Source organism: Homo sapiens, chromosome 17, assembly GCF_000001405.40.
Source record: "Homo sapiens chromosome 17, GRCh38.p14 Primary Assembly".
NCBI classification, from domain to species: domain Eukaryota; kingdom Metazoa; phylum Chordata; class Mammalia; order Primates; family Hominidae; genus Homo; species Homo sapiens.
The window spans coordinates 31,542,687-31,569,323 of NC_000017.11; the positions used below are offsets into that span (position 1 = coordinate 31,542,687).

Consider the following 26,637-nt stretch of genomic DNA (forward strand, 5'->3'; position numbering starts at 1 on the left):
GTACCATGGATTTATTCCCTCCCTGGGTGCAGGCCACTATTCCACTGAGAGGTGAAGTTTATTCTTCACCTCTTTGAATCTGGGCTAATTCTGTGACTGCTTTGATGAATAGATGCAAAAATGCATCACTTGAGGCAGAAGTGACATTCTGGGACTTTTTTTTTTTAGACGAAGTTTTGCTCTTCTTGTCCAGGATGGAGTGCAATGGCGTGATCTCGGCTCACTGGGTTCAGGCAATTCTCCTGCCTCAGCCTCCTGAGTAGCTGGGATTACAGGCATCCACCACCATGCCCGGCTAATTTTTTGTGTTTTTAATAGAGACAGAGTTTCTCCATGTTGGCCAGGCTAGTCTCAAACTTCTGACCTCAGGTGATCCACCTGCCTCAGCCTCCCAAAGTGCTGGGATTACAGGTGAGAGCCACTGCGCCCGGCCCATTCTGGGACTTCTGAGCTCTAACCTTAAGAAGATCAGCAGCTTCTGCGTCCTTCCTCTTAAAATGCACCTTCTTGGAAAACCCAGCTGTGAGGAATCTCAAACAGCCACGTGGAGAACTGAGGCCCCAGCCAAGACTAGCAGGAGAGTGAGGCCATCCCAAATCCCCAGCAACCACCAGATGAAGCAGAACTGCCTGGTCAACCCACAGAGCCATGGAAAACAATAAAGTTGTTATTTTAAGATCTAAATGTTGGGGTAGTTGATTAGACACAGCAGTAGGTACCTGAAACACCAGGGCCTCCAGTTTCCTCTCCACCAGGCTTCCTCTCAGAAGATCCCCCATCCCAGAAGGAATCCAGCCTGGTTGACAGAGCCCAGACCCTGTCTCTAAATAAATGAATAAAGCCAGGCGTGGTGGCTCATGCCTGTAATCCCAGCACTTTGGGAGGCTGAGGCGGGCGGATCACGAGGTCAGGAGATTGAGACCAGCCTGGCCAACATGGTGAAACTCCATCTCTATGAAAAATACAAAAATTAGCTGGGTATGGTGGTGGGCACCTGTAGTCCCAGCTTTTCGGGAGGCTGAGGCAGGAGAATCGCTCGAACCTGGGAGGCGGAGGTTGCAGTGAGCCAAGATCGTGCCACTGCACTCCAGCCTGGCGACAGAGTGAGAATCAGTCTCAAAAAATAAATAAGAAATAAATGAATAAATAAGTGGCCACATATTCTCCAAAAAGTCTCAAGTTGCATTGACTTTCCCTCCTATTAACAGCACCTTAATTTAGACCTTTTCTGGTGGCTGTGAAATTTGATCAAAGGGAAAAGTGTCAGGTGTTACTGTACCAAAGGCAGAAGGGTCAAGCTGGCATTTCATTCCGCTGTTCACTTTAGCAGTGGATAATGAATCTTGCTCAATGTATAATTAACACAGGGCTGTAGCTAATGGCTAACTCTCCCATTTTGTAGATGAGGAAACAGACTAAATGGAGGCTGAAGGGACACTGTACATGGCCTCTGCCAAAGTTACCCTGCATCACTAACTTTTGCCTACTCCATACAAATAACCAGCAGCCCACAAACCTAGAATGGAAAGGTGTGTAAGCTGTATATGGCCTCCTGTATCAATGAACTATTGCTTCTATGTAACAAACCACCCTCAAATCCTAAGGCATACAATGATTTATTACCTTCCTGATTCTGTGGTAGGCTGGCAGTTCCTCTGCTGGGTGTGCCTGGGCTCGATCTTGCAGCTGCATCCAGCTGAGGCATCAGCTGAGCTGGAAGGTCCCAGATGGCTACCTGACATGTCTGGCAGACGGTGCTGGCTGTTAGCTGGAATGACCCTCGGGGCCTCTCAACCTTCAGTAGCTAGACTGCCTTTCTTCCACAGCATTCTCAGGGCAATTTCCTAAGACAGTGGAGGCAGAAGCTGCCTCTCTTGGGGCCTTAAGCTTCAGAACTTACATAACATCACTTTTGCCACATTGTTTTAGTCAAAGCAAGCCCCATGGCCAGCCTGTACCAAAAAGTGGGAGAAGAGACTCCACCTCTAGGTGGGAAAAGCTGCAAAGAATTTGTGACTGCATTTAAGCTATCCCACTTATTTATGAGACGGAGTCTGGCTCTGTTGCCCAGGCTGCAGTGCAATGGTGTGATCTCAGCTCACTGCAACCTTCACCTCCCAGGTTCAAGCGATTCTCCTGCCTCAGCCTCCAGAGCAGCTGGAATTACAGGAACCCACAACCACGCCCAGCTAATTTTTTGTATTTTTACTAGAGATGGGGTTTCACCATGTTGGCCAGGCTGGTCTTGAACCCCTGACCTCAGGTGATACACCCGCCTGGGCCTCCCAAAGTGCTGGGATTACAGATGTGAGCACCGCACCAGGCAACCACCTATTTAAAACTGCAACCCGGGCCGGGCACGGTGGCTCATGCCTATAATCCCAGCACTTTGGGAGGCCGAGGCGGGCGGATCATGAGGTCAGGAGATCGAGACCATCCTGGCTAACACGGTGAAACCCCGTCTCTACTAAAACTACAAAAAATTAGCTGGGCGCGGTGGCGGGGGCCTGTAGTCCCAGCTACTCAGGAGGCTGAGGCAAGAGAACGGCGTGAACCCGGGAGGTGGAGCTTGCAGTGAGCTGAGATAGCGCCACTGCACTCCAGCCTGGGCGATAGAGCGAGACTCTGTCTCAAAAAAAGAAAAAAAGAAAAAAAAACAACAACAAAAAAACTGCAACCTGGCCAGGCGCGGTGGCTCACGCCTGTAATCCTAGCACTTTGGGAGGCCAAGGTGGGCAGATCATGAGGTCAGGAGATCGAGACCATCCTGGCCAACATGGTGAAACCCCGTCTCTACTAAAAAAAAAAAAAATACAAAAATTACCTGGGTGTGGTGGTGCGCGCCTGTAATCCCAGCTACTTGGGAGGCTGAGGCAGGAGAATCGCTTGAACCCAGGAGGTGGAGGTTGTAGTGAATTGAGATAGCGGCACTCTGCTCCAGCCTGGCGACAGAGCAAGACTCCATTTCAAAAAAAAAGCTGCAACTCTCCCCCTCCTGAAGAACATCCTAGCCTCCTTCCCTGCTGTATTTTTCTCCCTAGTACTTCTCACCAACTGATAGACTGTATGTTTTGCTTATTTAAGAATGGAAGCCCCATAAGGGCAGAGATCTGTGCTGCTTAGTTCACCGCTATAGCCCTAGCATTGAGAACAGTATTTGGCACACAGTAGATGCTCAATGATTTGCTGAAGGAATAAATGACTAGGTGCTCTTATGACCACGCTGTATGAAGGTGAGTAAGGCTTGATTCCTGCCCACTTGGAGCTCTGTGTTCCAGAACCAGCTCCTAGGCCTACCCAGCTGAGAAGTGGACCTGGGTGAACCCACAGTGACCCCACCAAAGGGCAACTACAATGTGGCCCAGGGTTGATAATGATTCATAGCAGGGGGTCAGAGAGGAAAGAATTCAAAAATTATTTTTCTTGTTATTTATTTATTTATTTTTTAAATGGAGTCTTGCTCTGTTGCCCAGGCTGGAGTGCAGTGGCACAATCTCGGCTCATTGCAACCTCTGCCTCCTGGGTTGAAGCAATTCTCCTGCCTCAGCCTCCCAAGTGGCTGGGACTACAGGTGCACACCACCACACCTGGCTAATTTTTGTAGTTTTAGTAGAGACAGGGTTTCACCATGTTGGTCAGGCTGGTCTTGAACTCCTGACCTTATGCGTGTCAGTCACAGAGACCAGCCCCGTTTTTGTAAAAGAGACTTTTTTTTTTGAGATGGAGTCTCACTCTGTTGTCCAGGCCAGGGTGCAATGGCATGATCTCGGCTCACTGCAACCTCTGCCTCCCAGGTTCAAGCAATTCTCCTGTCTCAGCCTCCTGAGTAGCTGGGATTACAGGTGCATGCCACCACACCCAGCTAATTTTTTGTATTGTAGTAGAGATGGAGTTTCACCATGTTGCCTAGGCTGGTCTCGAACTCCTGAACTTGGGTGACCCACCCGCCTTGGCCTCCCAAAGTGCCAGGATTACAGGCATGAGCCACTGCAACCGGCCTTGTAAAACAGACTTCTAAAGAGCAGTTTTAGGTTCACAGCAAAACTAAGCAGAAAGCAGAGTTCCCTATATACCCATGGCCGCCGTATCTCCCTAGTCTCCCCTGCCATCAACATCCTCCACTAGAGTGGTACATCTGTTACAACTGATGACCCTGCATTGACACATCATCATCCAAAGTACATAGTTTACACCAGGGTTCACTCTTGGTGTTGAACGTTCTATGGGATTTTTTTTTCTTTATTTTTCCCAGCCCAGAACCCCTCTATGGGTTTTGACAAATATATAATGATATGTATCCACCATTATATCATGCAGAATAGTTTTGCTGCCCTAAAAACTCTCTGTGCCCTATCTACTCATCCTTCCCACCCCTCAACCCCTGGCAACCATTGATATTTTTACTGTTTCCACAGTTTTGCCTTTTTTAGAATGTCATATAATACAGTATGTAGCCTTTTCAGTTTAGCTTGTCTCAGTCCGTTTTGTGCTGCTAAGACAGAATACCATAGACTAGGTAATTTATAATGCACAGAAATTTATTGGCTCGTGGGACTGAAGGCTGGGAAGCCCAAGATCGAGGAGCTGGCATTTGGTGAGGACCTTCTTGCTTCATCAACCCAGAGGCCGGGCAAAGAGAGGGTGGGAAGGCAAACTTCTTTTATAAGAAAACTACTTGCTCTATAATGAACCCACTCCTTTGAGAATGGCATTAATGCATTTATGAGGGTAGTGGCCCCATGACCCAAACACTTCCCACTAGGTCCCATCTCCAAGACCACCACATTGGGGATCAAGTTTCTAACACATGAACTTTAGGGGACACATTCAAACCATAGCAGTAGTATGCATTTTCACTTAGTAATATACATTGAAGATTCTTCTGTGTTTTTTTCATGACTTGGTAGTTCATTTCTTCCTTTTCACAGACTTAATTTTTCAGAGCAGTTTTAGATTCACGCAAAACTGAGCACAAAGTACAGAGAGCTCCCACATACTCTCTGCCCTCCCAACTGCACAGCTTCCCCTGAACAAGAGTTGTGCACTTGTTATAACTGATGAAAAGGTCCACTTTATTTTTTCTTGTGCTGTGTTGTCCAGGCTAGGGTACAGTAGCACAATCATAGCTCACTGCAACCTTGAACTCCTGAGCTCAAGTGATCCTCCTGCCTCAGCCTACCAAGTAACTAGGACTATAGGTGCTATCATGCCTGCCTTGTTTTAGTTTACTTTTTGTAGAGATGAGGTCTCACAATATCGCCCAGACTAGTTTCTAACTATTGGCCTCAAGTGATCCTCCCACCTTGGCCTCCCAAGGGAAGCCTGGGATTACAGGCATGAGCAACCATACCCAGCCTTTTGCCCATTTTTAAGTGAGTTGTTTGTTGTTGTCGAGTGGTAGGAGTCTAAATTTTATTTTGGATAGCAATTCCTTATTAGATATCTGATTTGCAATATTTTCTCCCATTCCACAGATTGCCTTTCATTCTGTTGTTTCCTTTGCTGTGCAGTTTTTATAAAGTCTGACTTGGTCCTATTTGTCTATTCTTGCTTTTGGGGTCATATCTAAAAAAATCATTGCCACATCTAATGTTGTAGACCTTTCCCCCTGTTTTCTTTCAGGATTTTTATAGTTACAGGTCTTATGTTTATGTCCTGAATCCATTTTGAGGTAATTTTTGTATATGGTGCTAGGTTAGGGTCCAACTTCATTCTTTTGCATGTGGATATGCGGTTTTTCCAGCATCATTAGTTGAGTCCAGAGATCCGCCTGCTTCGGCCTCCCAAAGTGCTGGAATTACAGGCGTGAGCCACCGCGCCTGGCCGAGTCCAGAGAGTTTTTAAAAGCATAGAGAGGAGGCCAGACACGGTGGCTCATGCCTGTAATCCCAGCACTTTAGGAGGCTGAGGCGGGTGGATCACCTGAGGTAAGGAGTTTGAGATCAGCCTGGTCAACATGATGAAACCCTATCTCTACTAAAAATACAAAAAATTAGCCGGGAGTGGTGGCAGGTGCCTGTAATCCCAGCTACTTGGGAGGCTGAGGCAGGAGAATTGCTTGGATCCGGGAGGTGGAGGTTGGAGTGAGCCGAGATCGTGCCATTGCACTCCAGCCTGGGCAGAGCAAGACTCTGTCTCCAGAAAAAAAAATCTGCACACAAATAAGGCTTAATTTGGCAGTGGTGGTGGCAGGGTGGCTGTCCCCAGCGAGCATGAGCCCTGCCCTGAGATAAGGGCTTCTCTTCCCCCACCCATGCAGACTCACCTCTCTCCTGGAACAGATGCTGTGGCCACAGGCCAAACAAGAACAGGGGGACCTAATTCCCCCCTTTATTTAATTTAAAGAAAATAAAAGATTTACCAAAAAAGTATACAGTATCCTAATAGGCACTCGTGTTCCCACCTCTGCCTCTTCCATAGACTAGAAACAAAACAATGCCAATTAAGTTAAAGTCCCCTTTGTCCCCCATCCCCAGTCCCAGGCTCCCTCTCTGTTTTTCCAGTAAATTTTCACGTGTGTTTCTGGGCTCTGCCTAAGCTGACAATCAGTCCTTTGAATCCGCATGGTTCCTTTTCATCGTGACCTACTGTTCCGCGGTATGAGAGACCACATGATTCTGCCATTCGGGTCGCCATGTCATCCCTGGGGGCCTCTCCTAGCGTGCCCACCTCGGCTCCTCCGGGGCAAGGTCATCCAGGCTACACAGATGCTCAGGGTCCTCCTTGCCAGGGGCTGCAAGGGGAGCGAGCTGAACCCGAGGAAGGTCGTGCTTCGTGCAGGGCCAGCGAGGGAAGGTCACCTCCCGGCGCCCCGAGCCTGGCCCCATGCCCCAGGCTCCCCGCGTCTTCCTCGGAGCGCTGGCCCCGTCCCAGTCCCCGCCCCCGGCCGCGCCGCCCTTCTTGGCTTGCGCCCTGGTCCCCACCAACCCCGCCCGAGCCCCCACGGACCCTGCCCGGCCCGACGGAAATGACCCGGCCAGGGTCACACACGGCCCCTGCCCGCTCCGCTGCGGCCATCTCCGCTTCCGCTTCCGCTTCCGCCGAGGCTTCTTTCCGACTCAGGCACGGCTCTGTGCCGTAGCTTTCGACCCCACCGCCAGGCCGCTGCCCGCTCTAGGCGTGGGCTGGGTCTCGGGGCATCGCTCGCGGCGGGCGCGGGGCGAGAGAGGAGGGAGGAGGGCCGGGCTTCTCAAGACGCCGGTTCGGGTCCCGCAGGCGGCGGGCGCGGGACCTGCCCCTGACCGGGCGGGAGCGGTGCTCGCAGAGTCAAGCCCGGGCTTGCGGGTGGGGCTTGCGGGGGCGGGACCGGGGGCGGGGCCGAGGCCGCAGCTCCCAGCCGGTACCACCTCCCCTCCACTGAGAGATTCCACCGGTCCCTGGGCTGTCAGGCGCGGTGGCCAAGTGGTAAGGCGTCGGTCTCGTAAACCGAAGATCGCGGGTTCGAACCCCGTCCGTGCCTGAGACCCGAGGTAGGGCTTTGGCTGTGGGGAAGTCGGGTTTTCTCCACGTACGCCGTCCCTTCTACGTGGCATTTTTTCCATTTTCGGATTCTGCTCAGTCGCCCTCCAGTTCGTCTCCTGCCCCGGGCTCCGCGGTCGGCGGGGGCCGGTGCACCTGGGCTTCGAGACTCCAGGGTCCACCTTACAGGTGAGCTCGGCCCCCGCCGCGCCGCGTGCGCCCTCGCCGCCGGTCCCCGCGTCTCCTTTCCCCCAGCCGCATTTCGCAGAGCCGGAGTCGTCTTCACTGCTTCGCCAATGGGGACACTAAGGTCCAGGTGGCCCGCGGGGACTCGGGTCCCGCCCGATTTGCGAGTGTTATGGCGGGGCAACTTTCCAGAGAGGGTGCCTGAGTTTCCCGAACGGTGGTTTCTGGATTGTTCTTTGGAAGGTGAATTATGCAGGCCATGCGCACTGCCTGTCTTCCTGTCTACAAAGCAAACCAGATTGTTCAACTGGTGGGTGCTTCTTTTCCAGTCCTGGTGAACTGATCCTTTGAATCTGCCCCCAGCCAGTTATGACACTCCCCACATCATCTCTAGGATAAACAGTCTGATTTAACATATTAATAACATGACATTGAGCGCCTCCTCCCATTCCTGGACCCTCTTTTTGATACACTGCTCTGTCTGTCCTCCTCTTCAATTGTAACACTCCCTACCGAACATACTACTCCAGACAGAGTCTTATGAATGGAACTTCACCTCCCTCATTCTATACCCCATACTTCTGTTAATGTAGCCCTGAAAAACCACATTACTTTCTCTGAGGCCTGTTGCACAGATGACCATGAGGAGCTTTAGGTGGACTGAATGTCAGAAGAGTCTCAGGTTATCAGAAGAGAAGGTATAGGGCCCAGGCAGCAGAGAAATATTGACCTTTTCTCTAAGATCCCAATAAATGGAAGAGACGCTCTTGGCTTTTGAAGGTAATGCCGAGCTAGGGTGTCAGTGTCATCATGAAAGTGTTATTAAATACAAATTGAGGCCTTTTTTGACAAGCGCCTCAGCCTAAACAGAGTCCAGATATTCAGGCATAGAAATAGGAAGGTGAAAAGTCCTGCTCTACTGGATATTGCCTTGAATCCTGTCCCTTCAAATTCCTGATGAGAAGGAGCTTCAAGACTGAACATTGTGTTTTCCGTTTTTTTTTTTTTTTTTTTTTTTTTTGAGACGGAGTCTCGCTCTGTGGCCCAGGCTGGAGTGCAGTGGCGCGATCTCGGCTCACTGCAAGCTCCGCCTCCTGGGTTCACGCCATTCTCCTGCCTCAGCCTCCCGAGTAGCTGGGACTACAGGCGCCCGCCACCATGCCCGGCTAACTTTTTTTGTATTTTTTAGTGGAGACGGGGTTTCACCGTGTTAGCCAGGATGGTCTCCATCTCCTAACCTCGTGATCCACCCACCTCGGCCTCCCAAAGTGCTGGGATTACAGGCATGAGCCACCGTGCCCGGCCAAACATTGGGTTTTCTGAAGGAGCTGGAGCAGAGAATTCCACCCCAGCGGAGGGCAGAGGGACAAGCCAAGCCGAAGTCAATATAAGAGAAATGCAAGGGGCCGGGTGCAGTGGCTCACACCTGTAATCCTAGCACTTTGGGAGGCCAAGGTGGATGGATCACTTGAGGTCAGGTGTTTGAGACCAGCCTGGGCAACACAGCAAAATCCCATCTCTATAAAAAATACAAAAACTGCCAGCCGCAGTGGCTCACGCCTGTAATCCCAGCACTTCGGGAGGCTGAGGCAGGCAGATCACTTGAGGTCAGGAGTTTGAGACCAGCCTGGCCAACATGGCGAAACCCTGTCTCTATTTAAAATACAAAAAAATTAGCGGGCATGGTGGCACATGCCTGTAGTCCCAACTGCTCTGGAGGCTGAGGTGGGAGAATCGCTTGAGCCCAGAGGGTCGAGTTTGCAGTAAGCTGAGATGGTGCCACTGCACTCCAGCCTGAGAGACAATGAGAAACTGTCTCAAAAAAAAGTGCAAGGTACAGAAGAGGTCAGTGTAAAGATTTTGGGGAAACATGGGCTTCCAAAAGTGAAGGACCAGAGGCAGGGGTCAAGTATGGATTCCAGGTCAAGTTTTGTGAGAGGAACTAGAAGTGAAGGCAAGTCAGATACAAGCACCAGGGTGAGCCTGGGGAACAGAAATCTTGTAATTACCTTGAAGGCCAGCAGGTATCTACATGCACCCCTGTGGAGCCAGGGGTAGGTCATTGGCTTAAAGAATAAGGACAGAATTGAAGGCAGGGGCAGAAAGGGACACATATGTTGAGTTTGTTGCATGACCTCCATTAAATCGCTGATACTCCCTGGACTTCAGCTTCCTTAGTTGTAAAATTCTACAGTTGAAAGAGCTATGTCCTAAATGCCTTGTGTCCTGAAATTCTAGGTTTCTACCTCAGAGCCTGGACCTTGCAGAAGCAAGGGGATCACAGGCCACCCCACCCATCATAGTAGCCCCTTCTGCAATGGGGCTTGACCATTGCAACCTCATGATGAGATGTGACCAGGGCTCCTCCATCCAGGGAGTTATAAGCAGTCCTCCCTGATGGGAAGCGCTGGAGCTGCAAAGGCTCCGCCCATGCTGGTTACCCCTGGTAGAGTCCTCCCTTTTGCTCCTCCTTAGTGTCCAGGGCAAAACATAGGGCCTCTGGTACTGCATTTTGAGAGCCACGCAGGCAGACACAGTCATTTGTGGGCAGCTAAAACCTCCAGGATATTTTTTAAAACATAGACCAGAATTTGGCAAGTCTATATATTATGCCTCATTCTATAAGTTTTAGCCCAATACCAGCCTGGAGAAATATGCTTTTTTTTTTGTTGTTTTTTTTTTTTGAGACGGAGTTTCACTCTTGTCACCCAGGCTGGAGTGCAGTGGTGCGATCTTGGCTCACTACAACCTCCGCCTCCTGGGTTCAAGCAGTTCTTCTCCCTCAGCCTCCCGAGTAGCTGGGATTACAGGCACTTGCCACCATGCCCGGCTAATTTTTGTATTTTTAATAGAGACAGGGTTTCACCATGTTGGCCAGGCTGGTCTCGAACTCCTAACCTCGTGATCTGCCTGCCTCAGCCTCCCAAAGTGCTGGGATTACAGGCGTGAGCCACCGTGCCCAGCCCAAGAAATATGTTTTTAAGTCTTTTACCATACAATAAAACAAATTTGAAAACCACACAAATCAAGTGAATGCCTTAATGAATTATAAGGGGAACACTATCCAAATTAGAGAATTTTGCCGGATACCCCAGAAACCCTTTTTGTGTGTCCCCCCCTAATCACAACCTCCCCAGGGCCATAAGTATCCTTACCCTCTAATCACTTCCTTGCATTTTAGTTTATCACCTAATTGAGCATCGCGACATCTTTGTACACTATAGTTTAACTTTGCTCATTTAAAAAAATGGATAGAAGCTTTTTTTTTCAATCAGGAGGTACCCCTTCCTTCCCTTTCATTTCCTGGCAGTGTGTCTGTTGAGGACCCTGGGCCACTGCACCTGGAGGGTTTCCCACAGTCTAGATCTTGCTTACTGCAAACTCTTGGTGCAACCCAGTAAGCTCCTCAGTCCTCAGTACTTCCTGCAAATCAAATTGGCAGTTAGATCCAGACGCTGGATCGGAGTCAGGTTGGTTGCCTGTGGCGAGACTCTGGTATTACCTCCTCTGAGAAGCCTCTGATTCCCCCAGGTAAGGAGTCCCTCAGTTTCTTGTCTGGGACCCCTCTGTGTGTCTCACACCATACTTGGAAGCCCCTTAGGACTTGGATGGTGTCTCACTCATGTCTGTGTTTCCAGCAGCTGGAACAGAGACAGAGCCTTGGCACAAGGAAGGTCCTGACCTGAAGGGCTAAGGAAGACTTCCCTGAGGAGTGACATTGTGGCTGGGCTCTGCAGGATGAATACGAACTCACCAGAGCACAACCAGGTCTTGGGTATCTCTGCCCTCATTCAGTCATCTTTGACACTCAAATATCATGATCTAGGTTGCATCTAAGCAGGCAGGGGTTCTTTTCTTTCCGCAGTGGCCTCTCTAACCTGCAGGTAAAATCAATTTTTGAATTAAGAAACAAATTCTCATTCCCTGTAGATGGTTTTATTAGCAAACCCCAAAGGTCTAACCCCATACTTGGGGACAAATTTACCAATTTGGAATAATACACTGATAGAAATGAAACCAGCCAACCCTCTCATTTCACACTGCAGAAACAGGCAAAGAGAAGGAAAGTGATTGTTCTAGGTCACCCAGAAAGCTCTACTTTTATCATAGATATTATGCTTGTCTACAGCATGAGCTCAAATCTTCTAGGAAAAGTCATCTTCATTATTAACTTGACATGCACCCAGGAGATGGTCTATCTCTTTGCCAGCCTGTAGGCCAAACTGGCACCTCACTTGTCAAACACTCATGCCTGATCGATAGGAACAGCAGATGGTGACCAAAATCACTATACTTGATTACAATATTAAGGCTTTAGGGGCAAGAGAGGGACACAGATATACACTGTCAAAGGTTGGAATCCCCAGAAGGCAGACCCCTAGACAGAGCTTAATGTGCAGAATGCTTATTCCACCTGGGAAAGGGTGGGAAGCAGGTGTGAAATGAGGGAGAGCCCCCCTCCCCCACCACTCACTGGATGTGGGCTGTCCAGAGAGCTTAGACTAGGCGGCTCTAATGGCAGAAGACAGTCTGTTGACAGCACTCCAAGCAGCTGGGACAAACCCTTTCTTGAAGGGGTAACATGGCACAGTGACCATCACACACAGAGTGGGAACTTAAAGACAAGAATCAATTCAGTCACAGAGAGTGAGGGCAAAGATAAAGCTCATAGGCCAAAGGCTTAACTTCTGGATCAAGGGCTCTAATATTTTCCAGACATGGGCTTTGGCTACTGAAAGCATTTCAAAGAACACTGAGTAAGAGGGCTGGGACCTGGGGCCAGTAGGGATCACTGTGTGACCTCACTTCCCAGGAGTCATCCTCAGCATCACGTGCAGAAGGCCAGCCTGGGTAGGGAGCCTCAGGTCACCTGCCTCCTCCCCAGACCCCATCATCCAGGAAAACTGAATTCAGCTGAAAGCACAGCCATGGCATTGCTGAAATATGACAACACCTGGAGACAATGGATTCCTTTCTGGGGAATTTACCCCTCTGCTGCTGCTTGAGGGCAAGCGTCCTGTCTTCTCTTCCCCTGGTATATAAAATGAGGCTCTTCATTTGTTGGCTGAATGAATGAAGGTCAGAAAAAGAAAACTCAACTTCTCATCCTCCAGTAATGGAACAATCAAGTTGGGAGAAATCACAGAGAAAAAAATCACGTCCCAATTTTGCTGATGAGGAAACTGAACTTCAGAGGCAGGAAATAACTCTCAGAAGGTTGCAGAGAAGGTGAGGAATCGAAACAGGCCATAAGCAGTGACAAGTCTGGTAATGCCAGAGTAGTTTTTCTGCAGTAAAGATTTCCCTTCCTGCTTGCCTTTCCCCTGATTCTGGGGCTCTCCCTTGGTCCAGATCATTTGGGCCGAGAGAAACAAAACCCAGGTGCATTGCCATCTAAGCAGAATATGCTGAGAAAATCACCCTCACAAATTCCATAGTCACCTACAAAGTACTTCAGGTTATCACCAGCCCTTTTCTCCCTCTGGTCCCCAGGATGCGTATGTCTTCTCTCAGAACTCTTTCTGGGCCGGGTGCAGTGGCTTACACCTGTAATTCCAGCACTTAGGGAGGCTGAGGCAGGAGGATCACCCGAGGTCAGGTTTCACTAACATGGTGAAACCCCGTCTCTACCAAAAATACAAAAATTAGCTGGGCATGGTGGCGGGCGCCTGTAATCCCAGCTACTAGGGAGCCTGAGGCAGGAACCTGGGAGGCGGAGGTTGCAGTGAGCCGAGATTACGCCAATGCACTCCAGTCTGGGCAACACAGTGAGGCTCTGTCTCAAATAAATAAATAAATAAATAAATAAAAATAACAGAGAGATGTTAATATCATCATCATCATGGTATGTTCTTGAAGTTCTCAAACAGCAGGAGGTAACCCTGTTAAGTGAAACCAATTTAACAGCTTGTAAACAGCATTCTAAAAATGAAACGGTAACACAGAATATATATTTGAGTGCATAAGAATTGTTTCATAAAACATTTGTTTTACACATGTACATAGATACATACACATATATACATACGTACACACACAGGTATTTCCTATCATGGGGCATGACTGAGTTTGAAAGCTACTGTTCTAAGGCAACATTTCTCTAAAGATGATTGAAAGGAGTGTTTTTCTTTCTTTTCTTTTTTTTTTTTTTTAATTTTTGAGACAGGGTCTCACTCTGTTGCTCAAGCTAGGGTGCAGTGGTATGATCACAGCTCACTGCAGCCTCAACCTCCTGAGCTCAAGTGATCCTCCCACCTCAGCCTCCCGAGTAGCTGAGACTACAGGTGCGCGGCACCACGCTTAGCTAATTTTTTTTGTTTGTTTTTGTTTTTGTAGAGACATGGTTTCGTCAGGTTGCCTAGACTGGTCTTGAACTCCTGAGCTCAAGCAATCTGCCTGCCTTGGCCTCCCAAAGTGCTTGTGGCTTACAAGCCTGAGCCACTGCGCCTGGTCTATTTTTCTAACTTTAGTAATTTGCATTTGCATACCACTGCCATTATTGTTGTCATATCAGAATACTACCTATAACATTATTTACTAAATTCTTGTCTTTGAGTTGGCTCACTTTAACCATTTTTGCCTCATTGTAACAGCAATATTCAGAAAATTTATATTTAATACTACATATTACATTTTTTTCCATCTAAAACCATCTCTCATATGAGCACCACCTTTTGGGAAACGCTGGTGGCAAGGAGTGTCACATGCAAAAGCCCCTTCCAGAAGTCAAGCTGGGAGCCAGAAAAGCTGTATGATGTTGGGATGTTGGGTGAGCCCCCACCCCCTGCCCCCGGGGTCCTTCTCTGCCCCTGGAGGCAGGCCCAGTCCTGCTGCTGGGTATCCCAAGTTCTTGTGGTTGACCTTCCCGCAGTGGCCACCTCAGGAAGAAAAGGGCAGGCCCTATCTGCCTGTGGACTGGATCTTTCTTGGGATGTTCCCGCCAGTGGAAAAGGCCAGGACCTCGATCTGCCTTTCTGTAGTGAGCTGCATCCTGCTGCTGCCCCAAGATCGAAGAATTTCCTTTCTTGTCCAGCTTTGATTCCATTGATGGGATTAGGCACCCCCCACGGCCGTGTCCTTTGATGTGGTCAGGGGGTAGCAGGGAGATTTCAGGCCCAGGGAGCAAATCTTAATCTTCTTCGAGCTTCTCTGGGATCAGCACCGGGGTAAACCCATTACAACCCTGCCCTTTCATCCCCCCAGGACACCGGCTCCTCCCGGCTCCTGAGTCTCAGAGATCCTAAGGGTTTGTCAGATTTGGAGCGAGCAATAAAAGGGGAAGAGAAAGCAGAACACTAACTCCAGACCCCCTCCAGCCCCGGCTGCATCTCCAGCAACGTCAGGGCATCTTCTTTCTTCCCTTCTAATCCTGCGCTCCCACAAAATGGCGATTACAGAGGCCTGGGGCCAGCGCTGTCCATGCCCCAGCACTGGGCATCTCTGCCAGCGCTTGGCCGCCATCCCTCCCCCAGCTACGCACTCCTGGGAGCACCAGCTCCTGGACATGTCCTACCCAGGGATCCCGATGTGGGGATCAGATAAACCAGATATACCACTCAACCCTTACCAAAGTGAAGTTTAGAGACAGGGTCTCCCTCTGTCACGCAGGCTGGAGTGCCGTGGTGCGATCATAATTCACTGTAGCCTCTAACTCCTGGGCTTCAGCGATCCTCCCACCTCAGGTGTGTGCCACCACGCCCAGCTAATTTTTTTTTTTTTTTTAACTTTTTGTAAAGACAGAGTCTCACTATGTTCCCAGGCTGGTCTCAAACTCCTGGGCTCAAGCAATCCTGCCTTGGCCTCCCAAAGTGCTGGGATTACAGGTGTGCGCCACCGTGCCCAGCCTCATAGTGAGATTTAAAGGCATGATCTGGGTTGGTGAGGCCAGGAAAGAGAAGGCAGGAACATAGCTAATATCTATGTCGGGACACAAACAGATATGTCACGTTATTTTCTTTAAATGGCTCCAAATCTCGACCTGAAGAGGTTGGGAAACTCAACCTCAGTGGTTATTTGGGCTTCCCCATCACCCACGGTGCCTGGAATCCTGGCCATCTTGAGGCTGGGGATCTTGGTAGAGGCCTGGTTCAGGTCCCAGAGGAGACACGCAGTTACTCTCCCACATCCTGGCGTCTCCGGAGAGACAGTGGGGCAGCAGGTCTCCACCAAGGGGATTCCACTGACCTCCCACCCCTCGCTAATCTTGGGACAGCTCTTACTCAGCCTCAAAGCTTTTCTGTCCCACTCCTTTTCCACAGTCTCCCTAAAGGAACTCAGCTTTTCAAACAGCACAGCCAGGAAGAGAGGTTGTCTGCAGGCCGCTGGAACTGGGAGTTGAAAGCACGAAATTTTAACATCTCAAGAAAGTATGCTGCCCGGTACTATGCTTGGCACTTTAATTTATAATCTTTGCCACCAAAGCCCTGCCAGAAGTGCCCGGCGGCTCCAGGTTCTAGATGGGGAAGTTGAGGCCGGCGGCAGGCGCGCTCCACCGGGCGGGGGCGCGGCCCGGGAGCGGAGCGGCCGGCAGGGGGCTCCCCGCGCCGGTCTCCGCGGGAGGAAGCGCTGGCAGCTGCTCGGACGGGTCAAAGGAGGAAAAGGGAAAATTACTGGGCTCCGGGGCGGGAAGGACTGCGTGACTGGGAGGAAGGCACTCCAGACTGTCGAGTAGGGCCGCCCGCGTCGGGACCCCATCCCCGGGGCAGTGCGGGCCACCCGGGACCTGGGAACCCGGGCCACCCCCCACCGCCGTCAGGGTCTCTCCCGCCGGTGCCGCAGGCTGGAGCGGGCGTCGCGGCCGGGGGCGGTGCCGCCTAGGGGCGGGCGAAGGGCGGGCCGGGGCGGGGCGCCGTCCGCTCGGCTCCGGGAGGCGGTGCGGGCGGGCGCTGGCCGCGTCCGCCCGCCGGGAGCCGCGGGGCGCGCAGCCTTCCTGATGTGTCACCAGCACGTGGAGCCAGGTCGGGCCGCGGCGAGCAAGCCGACCCCCCCAACTTTCGAGGGGTCTCGCCGCCCCGCTCCTCTCCCGGCTTCGTCGGGCTCGCTCTCCTAGCGGAGGGGGCGGCGGCGGCCCCCAGGTCCCGGGCAGGTCGAGCGAGGCCACGGCCCCCGGCCAGGAGTTCGAGGGGCTCCCGGAACGTCGGGGCGCGGGCCCCGGCTAGCGGCTATGGCCCCCGTGCCCAGGCAGCGGTGCGGGCTCGGCCTTGCGGGAGGGTGCGGCCTGCTGCGAGAGGTCGGCCACGGCTCCTGCCCCGCGCCCCGCGCCCCTCGCCCGCCGAGCTGAGCGCAGGTAACCGAGGCAGAGCGGAGCTGGGCCTCGCAGGCGCGGCGTGGGAGCGTGGCGAAGTTTCTCGGCGCATAACTCTTGCGCCCCACTCGGGAGTGGGGCTGCGGTGGGGAGGCTTTGGTCCCCGCACCTCCCCCTCCCCCAGCGCTGTCCCTCGGCCTGAGCCGAGGCGGCCCGGGGGTGGCGTGGAGGCCGCCGAGCGTCGTGTAACCCTTGGAGGGCTGGGTTTGGAGCCCGCGACCCGAGGTCGGGCGGGGCGGTGGACTTTCCCGGGGAACGCCGCCTGAGGGACACCCAGAGCTTCGGCGGAGCGGAGCGCGGTGCACAGAGCCGGCGACCGGACCCAGCCCCGGGAAGCCCGTCGGGGACGCACCCCGAACTCCGAGGATGGGAGCTGAGGGCTGGGTCTTTGCGGGCGAGATGAGGGTGTCGGATCAACTGGCCTACAAAGTCCCAGTTCTCGGCCCCCGGGACCAGCGTCTTCTCCCCGGTCCTCGCCCCAGGCCGGCTTCCTCCCGGGCTGGCGTGCGCTCCGGCCAGGCTGCCTCTCAGGTCCACGCTGGAGAAGGAGTGGTGAGGTGCGCTCGCCCCGGCTGCGTGCGGTGATTCGGGAAATCCCCGCACTTCGCTGGAGAAATAGCGACGCTCTCGGAAGTGTGAGTCGGTCACTGCTTGGGGTCCGTACCCTTTGGGCAGACGTGGACCGCGCCCCGGCGACCTGGGTTGAGTGGACAGACGGGACCCGGCTTACCCATGGGCCAAGCCCTGCCACTTACCGAGGCCTGCCCTGCTGTGCTTTCCAGGGCGGCAACCTTGAGCTTGGGGGTGGGGAGAACGGGGCCTGACTTCTAGAATTGCCCCTGGGGAGGTGGGAAGCGGAGGTTTGGCCCGGTGGCGCAGGAAGCCCCTGTTCCTCTCCCAAACACCATTTCATTAAAGATGGATCTTTGTGGATGTGTTCCCAATGGCCGGTCTTTTGTTCCCTGACCGATGCAACATAATGTGGACCCACTCTAGTCCTCTTCAAGTTTTTTGCTGGAATTCCTTAAACTCTCCTTTAAAGTCTCTTATCTATTCCTCTAGTGCGTTTGCTTCTACTCCCCGAAAACAAAAACCCACCAACCCCTGAAACCTCGGGTTTGCCTGGTGTTGGAACTTTGGTTATTTGTCCTTTGTTTGTGTTGTGTTTTTGGCTCTTGGCCGTGGAAAAACATCTGGGGACATGCAGTGAGGTGACTTGAACTGTGTGAAGAACTGGTTGACAAAATAGGGAACGTCTGGTCCCTGTCTTACTTGGCTTTGGAAAACAGGAGAGGTTTTTAGGAGCTGGGAGGAGGGAGGGTGAGAGGGAGGAACCATCACGGCCAGGTTGGCCCACCCCTTGCCAGGTCGTGTAAAAACCCATTCAAGAGGCATTTTCCCACAGGCTCCCTGCCTCTGCAGGCCACGTGTAGAGTAGTCCTTTGCAGGCGTCCTGCCCATACTGTTGTCCCTGTTTTGGGGGCATGTGGGAGCCAACACAGGGGAGTCAGGTGTGTGGTAGGCAGTCAGGTGTGTTTTGGGGTCAGGGAGGCAGGTTTGGGCCTGGGAGGCCAGGAAGGGACATACCCCGTCCTGCAGTTGGCCTGACTTTTGTCCATGTTAGCTTTGTCCTGGAGGCTTACCCAGTGGAACATGCAGATGTCAGAATTATGGGAGAAAAGAGTTTGGCCATGGGGTAGATTTCTGAACATCTTGACAAATTCTTAGTTTGGAGACAAAATTGTCTAGGAGTGGAACTGATGGGAGCTTCAACTGGAGACCTCGCCCCTAATTAAGAAAAATGCTCTTTGGAGCGCTGAATCAGCTTGGGAAAACAAAGTTCTCCCTTTGAACCAATGCCTCTCCCAGCCCTGGGGATCAGTGTCTAAAAGTAAATGAAGTGGAAATCTCCAGAATATTGCGTGGTCATAAAACATCCCAGAAGTGGGCTGGAGCAATGAGATGCCGAAAAGCAGGCCTGGCTGGCTGCCCTGCACCCACCCTGGAGGGGACCGGCTGGGGAAGGTGGACTCACAGGGCTGGGAATGAGGCCTGAGGAGCACTGTGGTGCCCCCGGCAGTTTCCCTCAGGCTGTGCCCCATTCTTTCTGGGTCTGGCCAGGGCTTTAGAGATTTTTAGGAAATGACTTGGTGCTTCGTTTCTTTGGGGGAAGTGAGTGATTAGGTTTTTCCTTCTTGGGTTTTTTTCCTTTGCAAAATGTGATTGAATCAGCTATGCAGTAGGCTGGGCTAGCCTGGCCTCCTGCAACTGATTTATGCTTCCGTGTAAGCCGTTGTATTGAGGAATTGTGTTGTAGTGGAGAGCTTTTTGATTTTGCTCTCTCTTGAATTCATAGTTTCCTGGAGCAGAGGCCTCCTTCCTGGCTCCTACCCCCACCCCCAGTCCCTCTTTCAAAGATGGGTACCTCAAGGTTTCAAGGGGAAGTAGCTTGAACATAGACTGATTTACCCTGGAGCCTTCTTCAGGAAGCAGCTAAATGCAAGGTAGAAAGCTGGTAGGAGGGGGAGGGTTTTAGCGAGACCTGCAGGGAGACTGACGGAAGACTCCTAAAAATCCAGCTGGACTCCCTGTCCTGCCTACTGGGAAGAAACTTGCATTCCCTCAACTCTTAGGTAAATTGCAGACTGGTGAATAATTAACCTTGCCTTTTTGGCTTTTTTTTTTTTTTTTTGAAAAAGAAAAATCCCAACCTATGAAAGATTGAAGATCAGTTTTTGTCCAGCAGGATCGGAATGACAAAGGAAGTATTGGGAGAAGCCAGTCCTCTCATCTTCACTCCTAGCAACTCTGGAAGTTCTGAACCTCAGAAGAAATCCCTCCGGGGTTTTGTTGGTGGCCATCCCTGCCGAGCCCCTGGCTGCTTCCCTGGGTTTCCTTTGGTTCCTCTTTGCCCAAAGCTGAGCTGTCTGAATGGTGAGGATTCTCTCCTCCACTTTGTCTAGCAACAGCTTGGCCCTTGATACTGCAGGAGGAGTTAATTCCGCTGCTGGGCCAGTCTACAGCCCTCTGCGCGGGCTGGTAAATATTTGGCCAGTCTCAGTTCTTTTTACACAAAAGAACAGCACTCCTAATCTGTGATAAGTCCCTGAAAGAGAGTTGTCTCAGAAGCAAGGGATCATTTTGGTTTCCGTGAAGGGTTTTTTTCTTGAAGCAGCCCAGTGTGAAGGCCATGGAGGCGCACTTTGCGTCCAGATGTGCTTGGGTTCCAACTGCGGCTCACCAGCTGCATGGCTTTGGCCCAGTGACTTCTCTGTGCCCCAGTTTCTTCTCTTGCGGGATGAGGGTTATGATACCTACCTTGTAAGTGTGTGGCGAAGCTTACGAAAGATGTATGTCAGGGTGTCTGGCACAAACCAGTAGATCTCCGACTGGTAGTCTTTGTCCCCTGGCTCTTTTTTTTTTAATAAAGATTTTCAAATTATTATTTTATTTCTTTTTCTTTTCTTTCTTTTTTTTTTCTGGGACAGATTCTCACTCTATTGCCCATGTTGGAGTGCAGTGGCACGATCTCAGCTCACTGCAGTCTCCACCTCCCATGTTCAAGCGATTCTCCTGCCTCAGCCTCCCGAGTAGCTGTGATTACAGGTGCCTACCACCACAGCCGGCTAACTTTTGTATTTTTAATAGAGATGGGGTTTCACCATGTTGGCCAGGCTGGTCTCGAACTCCTGACCTCAAATGATCTGCCTGCCTCAGCCTCCCAAAGTGCTAGGATTACAGGTGTGAGCCACTGTGCTCGGCTTGTTTATTTTTCTTTTTTTTTTCTTTTTTCTTTCTTTCTTTTTTTTTTTCTTTTTTCTTTCTTTCTTTTTTTTTTTTTTTTTGAGACAGATTCTCACTCTGTCATCCAGGTGGAGTGCAGTGGTATGGTCTCTGCTCACTGAAACCTCTGCCTCTTGGGTTCAAGTGATTCTCCTGCCTCAGTGGGATTACAGGCGTGTACCACCATGCCCAGCTAATTTTTTGTATTTTTAGTAGAGATGGGGTTTTAACATGTTGCCAGGCTGGTCTTGAACTCTTGGCCTCAAGTGATCCCCCAACCTTGGCCTCCCAAAGTATTGTGATTATAGGTGTGAAATACCACGCCCTGCCTTAAATTATTATTTTAAATTAAAAAAATGATGTTTAGATGCCACGATGTAGGTGGCAGTACCTTAACTATATGCGTGTCGTCAGGCCCAAGGGCCTCTTCCATCCTTGTCAAGGGGAGTGCTAACCTTCTCTCCTTTCATACAATCCAGCTCTCTTATTTTGAATCTGCGTGTATATACATGTTGGTTGAGACCGGTGCAGAGTGATTGAGACTCGGGCTTGTGGGTCTGGTAGGTTCGAGGACTAACTCCATCGCTTGGGAGCATGTGGCCTTGGGCAAGTTACTTAATCCACTGGGAACAGGGGTATCGTAACCATCAGATGGGGATACTGTCTGGGATTCCCATCCCCTATATGGGTCTCAATCCTCTCAGTTTCTGTGGTCTAACAACTATGTGCCAGGGACTGGGCCAGGCAGAGGCTGGGGTATCCGTTAGTAAGATGGGCACGGTCCCTCGCTGCCTGCTCTGATTTTTGCCCCAGCTCTGAGAGCAGATTAATGGTATTGTAAGTCCTCATTGTATGGTTGAAGTCGAGACTCAGGGGAAGAGACCCTCCCAGAATCTCCCAGCTTGCCTCGGTACCATAGGAGCAGGACCCCCAGGCTTCCAGGTGCAGCCTCCCAGGTCGGAAGCCAGCAAGCTGGGGCTGTAGAACAGGAGGTGGCTGGGCCTGGATTCGCTGGCACTGAGTCCTTAAAGGAACCCTGGGTAGCAGATGTGGCCGCCTTGTACATCTGCTCAGCAGTGCATCACTCCTAAAGGCCCAAAGACTCGTCCGGTCCTGACACTGAGCACGTTTCAGAAAAGGTCCCAGGAAAGACATTTGAATTGCCACAGCTGCTCAAGGCTTGCTCCCTCACTCATGCTGTGGGCAAACTAAACATCCTCTAGTGGGACCAGGCAAGCAGGGGACAAAATGGAATGGGGGTGCGGGGGAGGAGAAAATAATTTGATATTCCAAAAAATGCTGCAGAGTAATCATTTTGGGGGTGAAAATCAGAATTTCTTGGGACTTAGACTTTTTTATGGCTCAGTGGTGTTTTTCTTTAGAATTTTGGACTGGAGGTAGGGATAGACCATAATCTTTTCAGCACCCAAGAGCCTTCAGCAGGCCTCACTGGCTCTGGGCAGGGGGCAGGGCTTACAGGACCCAGAGCAGGTGACATCTTACCCACTGTGGATACTTCCTCCCTCCTCCCTTTGGCACGGTCTGAGGAATTTTGAAATCACCCCATAGCCAGACCCCTTGCATTTGCTGCCCAGGAGAACCGGGCAGGGAGGTGCCATGCGGAAAGTCCCGCTGCCTGATTTTCCTCTGAGCTCATCACTGCAGCCTGAGAGCCCCCTTCTCTGTCAAGTGGGTGACTGAACTGAATACACCAGACCCCCCTTGGCATTCTTCTAAGATCCTAAGGAGGAGGAGCTGAGGAAGGCACGGGGTGGAGCCTGGGGCTGTGGTTTGGAGGATGGGAGGGCTGGGGGAGGGATTCAGAGATTGCAGCTGGGAAATTTGGATCGGCCTATGAAGACTTTGTGGTTCATTCTCATGAAACTCGCTTCCTCTCACTGGATTTCTGCCCTGGGGGATGTGGGGTTCAAGTGAAAACACTGGCTTTTCCTTCTTGGTGACTGAGGCTTAAATTCTGGTCTCCCAAGCAAATATTTAAGAAATAACTCTCTTTTCCCTCCTTGTCCATTGTAAAACAAACCCTCTTTTTCGCCCATGTCTCCCACCCTCCTGAAAAGAATTCGGTTGTCTTGCTGCTTACTAGCTGGTAGCACCTGGCTTTCCAGCAGGCTGGTTGAAAACAGAAAATGCTTCTCTGCTTAAGACAGGGAAAGGGCGTGGGCTTTGGCATCAGAAACCTGGCTTTCCTGTAGACTAGCTGTGTCGGGCCTGGGGCGTCTTCCCAAGACTCAATTTCCCTGTCTGTGATAATACGTGCCTACTTCTCAGGGCATTATAAGGACTGAACAAGAATGTCTGTGTGAAACACCAGGCGCATGGTCGGGGGTGGTACATGGTAGTTCTTCCCGGGTGACACCATATTCATCCCAGGGTCCATGGGACAATGAGGTCAAAGAAGGACCAGCTGAGGCTGGTGTGCCTGCTTGCTGGCTTAGTATCTGGGGAGAAAACACTGGAAGAAAAGCAAATCCTTGCTGGTGGGGTGTGGGGGTGAGTTTGTGTGGGTCCTGCCTCTTCAGTGAGACATGTCTACCACTTGGGAGGGGCGTAGGGTGGAGGTGGGGGGCCAGGAGTCACAGCCTTTTCCGGGGGTTGGGTTCATGCGGCCGCCACTTAAGCCTATCTGAGGGGAGAGGTTAGTGGGAGAGTCAGGATGAGTTTCTGCTGAATTCCTTCTTGTCAAGCTTGCTTTTGTGGGCTTAACATGAGAAGGGTGGGGAGGGGGCCATATCTTAAAAAAGAGAAAGGCTGGGTTCAGTGGCTCGCGACTATAATCCCAACACATTAGGAGGCTGAAGTGGGAGGATCAGCTGAGGCCAGGAGTTCAGACCAGCCTGGCCAACATAACAAAATCTCATCTCTACAAAAATAAAAAATAAATTAGCTGGGTGTGGTGGCTTACACCTGTAGTTTCAGCTACTCTGGAGGCAGGGGCGAGACAGGATTGCTTGAGCCAGGAGTTTGAGGCTGTAGTGAGCTATGGTCACACCACTGTACTCCAGCCTGGGCAACATAGTAAGACCCTGCCTCTGAAAAAGTAAAAGGAAAAATTAGTCAGGCATGGTGGTGTGTGCCTGTAGTCCCAGCTACTCAGGAGGCTGAGGTGGGAAGATCGCTTGAGCCCAGGAGTTCAAGGTTACGATGAGCTGTGATTGACTGGGTCACTGCACTCCAGCCTGGGCAATAGAGGAAGACCCTGTCTCTCTTGAAAAGTGTCTTTGCTTTTGAAACTTCGAGGGCGATTAAACAGATACTGAAGTACAAGCAAAATGTTAGTCTTCAACTTGCCCAGCCAGACCACTGTGTATCTGGGAAAAGTCAACTAGACTGCTTGCTCCAGCTGGTTGGTCTGGTTGGTGTGGAGGGTGAACCCTCCTCTGGCCCGAGGCGTACACCCTCTCTCCTCCTTCTGTGTCTGGTGATGGCAAACGTTTATCTTTGCTCAGGCCTGGGTGCACGCTAACCTCGGCCAAATCTCTGAATGTTCAAACATCTGCCAAAATACCACATTTCGACAATGGGCCTTCTCTATAGAGATGAGGTTACGGGGGCAGTACTGGGATGCTGGAAAACCACTTAAACTAAACTGCGGGAAGGGGCAGGGTCCAGGATCCTGACTTTGAGTGTAAGGGGTGGGGAAGGAGCAGGGGGCAGCTCCTTGCCATACAGAGAGGCCTGAGGACCAGCTCCCTGCTTCCAGAGCCGGAGCGGGGAGGGGGCTGCTGCCAACCTATCTTGGCATTCTCCCTTTCGTCCTTGGGGTAGATTTCGTTGTAATTAGACAAGTTGTGACAAATAGCCCATTGGTCTTTGGGCTGGAGAATTGTGCCGAGTCCTGCCTGGAAACCCAGCCTTGTTCACTTGGGAGCCATAATTAGGCAAGAGAACAGTTCATGAGCCCTTTGATTCAATAAAGACCCTTTTATGATGTTGGTTTTTCCCAGAAAAATCATACCACTTTGCTCCATGTATTGCATTTAGATGTGTAATCATATTAGAGCTAAGCAGCCCAGGGGACTGAAGTTGTGTAGCTGGGGTTGTAGGGGCAGAAAGGTGCAATCCCTTTCCTCCCCGTAAGGGTCACGGCTGACATTTCTGTAACAAAGACAGGTTAACAGGAGAAAAGTTTGACAAATTTATTTAATCAGTGTTTTACATGACATGAGAGCCTTCAGAAGTAAGACCCAGAGAACCAGGGAAAACTATTTTTATGCTTAGATTGGAGGAAGAAGGGACAACCATCTAGGAATGTGATAGGACAAAAAGGGTACGACCTAATGTAATAGACAGAGGGGACCACCCAGCAAGGCCTGTCTATTCAGATGCTTTTTGGCCTCACTGTGCAGCATGTCTGGGGCGTATGGGGCAGGACCCCTTTGGGATGAGGGGTGAGAAGGGAGAGAGTGACCTTTGTAGATACTATGTCTTGCTTTGGGGGAGAGGAGTTCTACTTCCTATGACCCACCTTGGGGAAGAGGAATTCTGGTTTCTGTGCCTGGCTGCTGGGGAGAAAGAGGGGCAAGAGACAGAAGGGTGGAAGAAGGTCAGAGAGAACTTGCTTTCTCCTTTAGTTCAAAGTGCTCAGTGTACCAAAGCGCCAGGCTCTGGGGTATTGTGTTCTCAGCCCCATGGCGTAAAGCCTGTTACCCGGTCTTCAGAGAAAAACAGTGTCCTCAGAAAAAAAGAAAATGACAAGGAACACTTCTAAAGATTTTCTCTCTTGTCATCTAAAGAACATTTTCTCCCTTCAGAGTGAGAAGTGACCCAGGGGGAAAAACCAGAAAGTGAAACTAACTTGACAGGCCAGTGGCAGCGGCAGCCCCTGGTGCCTGCCCTCTGCAGTCCTGTGTCGGCCCAGGCCACGCGTGCCCAGCATGGTCGATATTTGTCAGACGGATAGCACGTGTCCAGCCAAGGGCCAGAGAAAATGCCCCCAGAGGATGCTTGCATCCTTTCCACAAAGAGTTGTGGTCAGCCCACTGGGGTCTCCACCGGGGTGGCAGGGCTGCAGATGCTGGTGTGTGCAGGTGGCAGTTCTCGGCCTCCTCCTCATTGCCTCCCTGTGAGGGGCAGTCAGCCCTGACTACATATAGCCCTGGAGCTTGCGGGCAGCTTTCAGCTCGTTGGGAAGGTGTGCTGGGCCTGCGACATTGACCGGACAGTTCTTCCAGGCATGAGAGGGATGCCCTGCCCAGGTCGCTGTCACAGGCACACCCCCTCCCACCAGCCACCCTCTTGCCTTCTTACCCCAAGACCATGTTGTCAGGCAGGCCAAAAGCATTTCCCAATCATGGAGTCAGATGTGTCCCAGAAATCTGCCCTGTGCCCAGGAGAGGTCGAAATCGCCAGTGGAATCAAGAACCTCTTTCCCAATTTGGGGTTTAGAAATCTCTGGCAATGAGGAAATTTCTGGTAGTCATTTGTAAGAGTTACTCTATTAAGAAATAGAGATAGAGGGTATGACATTTCAGAATGCTAAAATTTTGTTGCATTAGAAAGGGGGAAAATCCGTTTACTTCCCAAACATCTGGTGGGAGTTATCACCAAAATATATTTTCAGATATCCTCTAATGCAGAAAAACTGTATTTTATAGGACGTGGTTTATCTGTTTGTAGATAATGTGATTAAAATACTTCTGCAGTGTCGCTACTATCTTAAGGTGACTCTTTTTAACCTTCATACTGTAGGCTTTTTAAAAACACATAGAGATGGGGGTCTCACCGTGTTGCCCAGGCTGGTCTCGAACTCCTGGGCTCAAGCAATCCTTCCACCTGATCCTCCTAAAGTGCTAGGATTACAGGTGTGAGCCACCATGCATGGCCTACTTAGGCTTTTTGGAAGATACTTTACACTTTTTGGAAGAAGTGCTATTTCTTCTGGATAC

The 26,637-nt window shown here is 51.1% G+C and overlaps 2 non-coding genes and 1 pseudogene across 2 annotated transcripts, besides 6 other annotated features; 2 read left to right on the top strand and 1 right to left on the bottom strand.

Moving 5' to 3' along the window:
* Positions 7,022-7,731: a silencer, noted in NCBI's record as "silent region_8412". NCBI's record gives its function as "represses an Ori minimal core promoter by ATAC-STARR-seq in GM12878 lymphoblastoid cells {active_cell/tissue: GM12878}" and the evidence as "EXISTENCE:reporter gene assay evidence [ECO:0000049][PMID:35858748]".
* On the top strand, positions 7,388-7,459 carry TRT-CGT4-1 (tRNA-Thr (anticodon CGT) 4-1). Its single transcript has one exon. It is a non-coding gene; the product is annotated as a tRNA-Thr (tRNA).
* Positions 14,365-14,989: an enhancer, noted in NCBI's record as "NANOG-H3K4me1 hESC enhancer chr17:29884070-29884694 (GRCh37/hg19 assembly coordinates)". NCBI's record gives its function as "activates a minimal SCP1, AML or CMV promoter by ChIP-STARR-seq in naive and primed H9 embryonic stem cells {active_cell/tissue: H9 hESC(naive and primed)}" and the evidence as "EXISTENCE:reporter gene assay evidence [ECO:0000049][PMID:30033119]".
* Positions 16,092-16,581: a silencer, noted in NCBI's record as "silent region_8413". NCBI's record gives its function as "represses an Ori minimal core promoter by ATAC-STARR-seq in GM12878 lymphoblastoid cells {active_cell/tissue: GM12878}" and the evidence as "EXISTENCE:reporter gene assay evidence [ECO:0000049][PMID:35858748]".
* Positions 16,092-17,113: a biological region, named in NCBI's record as "H3K27ac-H3K4me1 hESC enhancer GRCh37_chr17:29886028-29886818".
* Positions 16,323-17,113: an enhancer, noted in NCBI's record as "H3K27ac-H3K4me1 hESC enhancer chr17:29886028-29886818 (GRCh37/hg19 assembly coordinates)". NCBI's record gives its function as "activates a minimal SCP1, AML or CMV promoter by ChIP-STARR-seq in naive H9 embryonic stem cells {active_cell/tissue: H9 hESC(naive)}" and the evidence as "EXISTENCE:reporter gene assay evidence [ECO:0000049][PMID:30033119]".
* Positions 17,310-17,397, top strand: MIR193A (microRNA 193a). Its single transcript, NR_029710.1, has one exon. It is a non-coding gene; the product is annotated as a microRNA 193a (primary transcript).
* On the bottom strand, positions 21,084-21,205 carry RNU6ATAC7P (RNA, U6atac small nuclear 7, pseudogene; annotated as a pseudogene).
* Positions 25,213-25,713: an enhancer, noted in NCBI's record as "H3K4me1 hESC enhancer chr17:29894918-29895418 (GRCh37/hg19 assembly coordinates)". NCBI's record gives its function as "activates a minimal SCP1, AML or CMV promoter by ChIP-STARR-seq in primed H9 embryonic stem cells {active_cell/tissue: H9 hESC(primed)}" and the evidence as "EXISTENCE:reporter gene assay evidence [ECO:0000049][PMID:30033119]".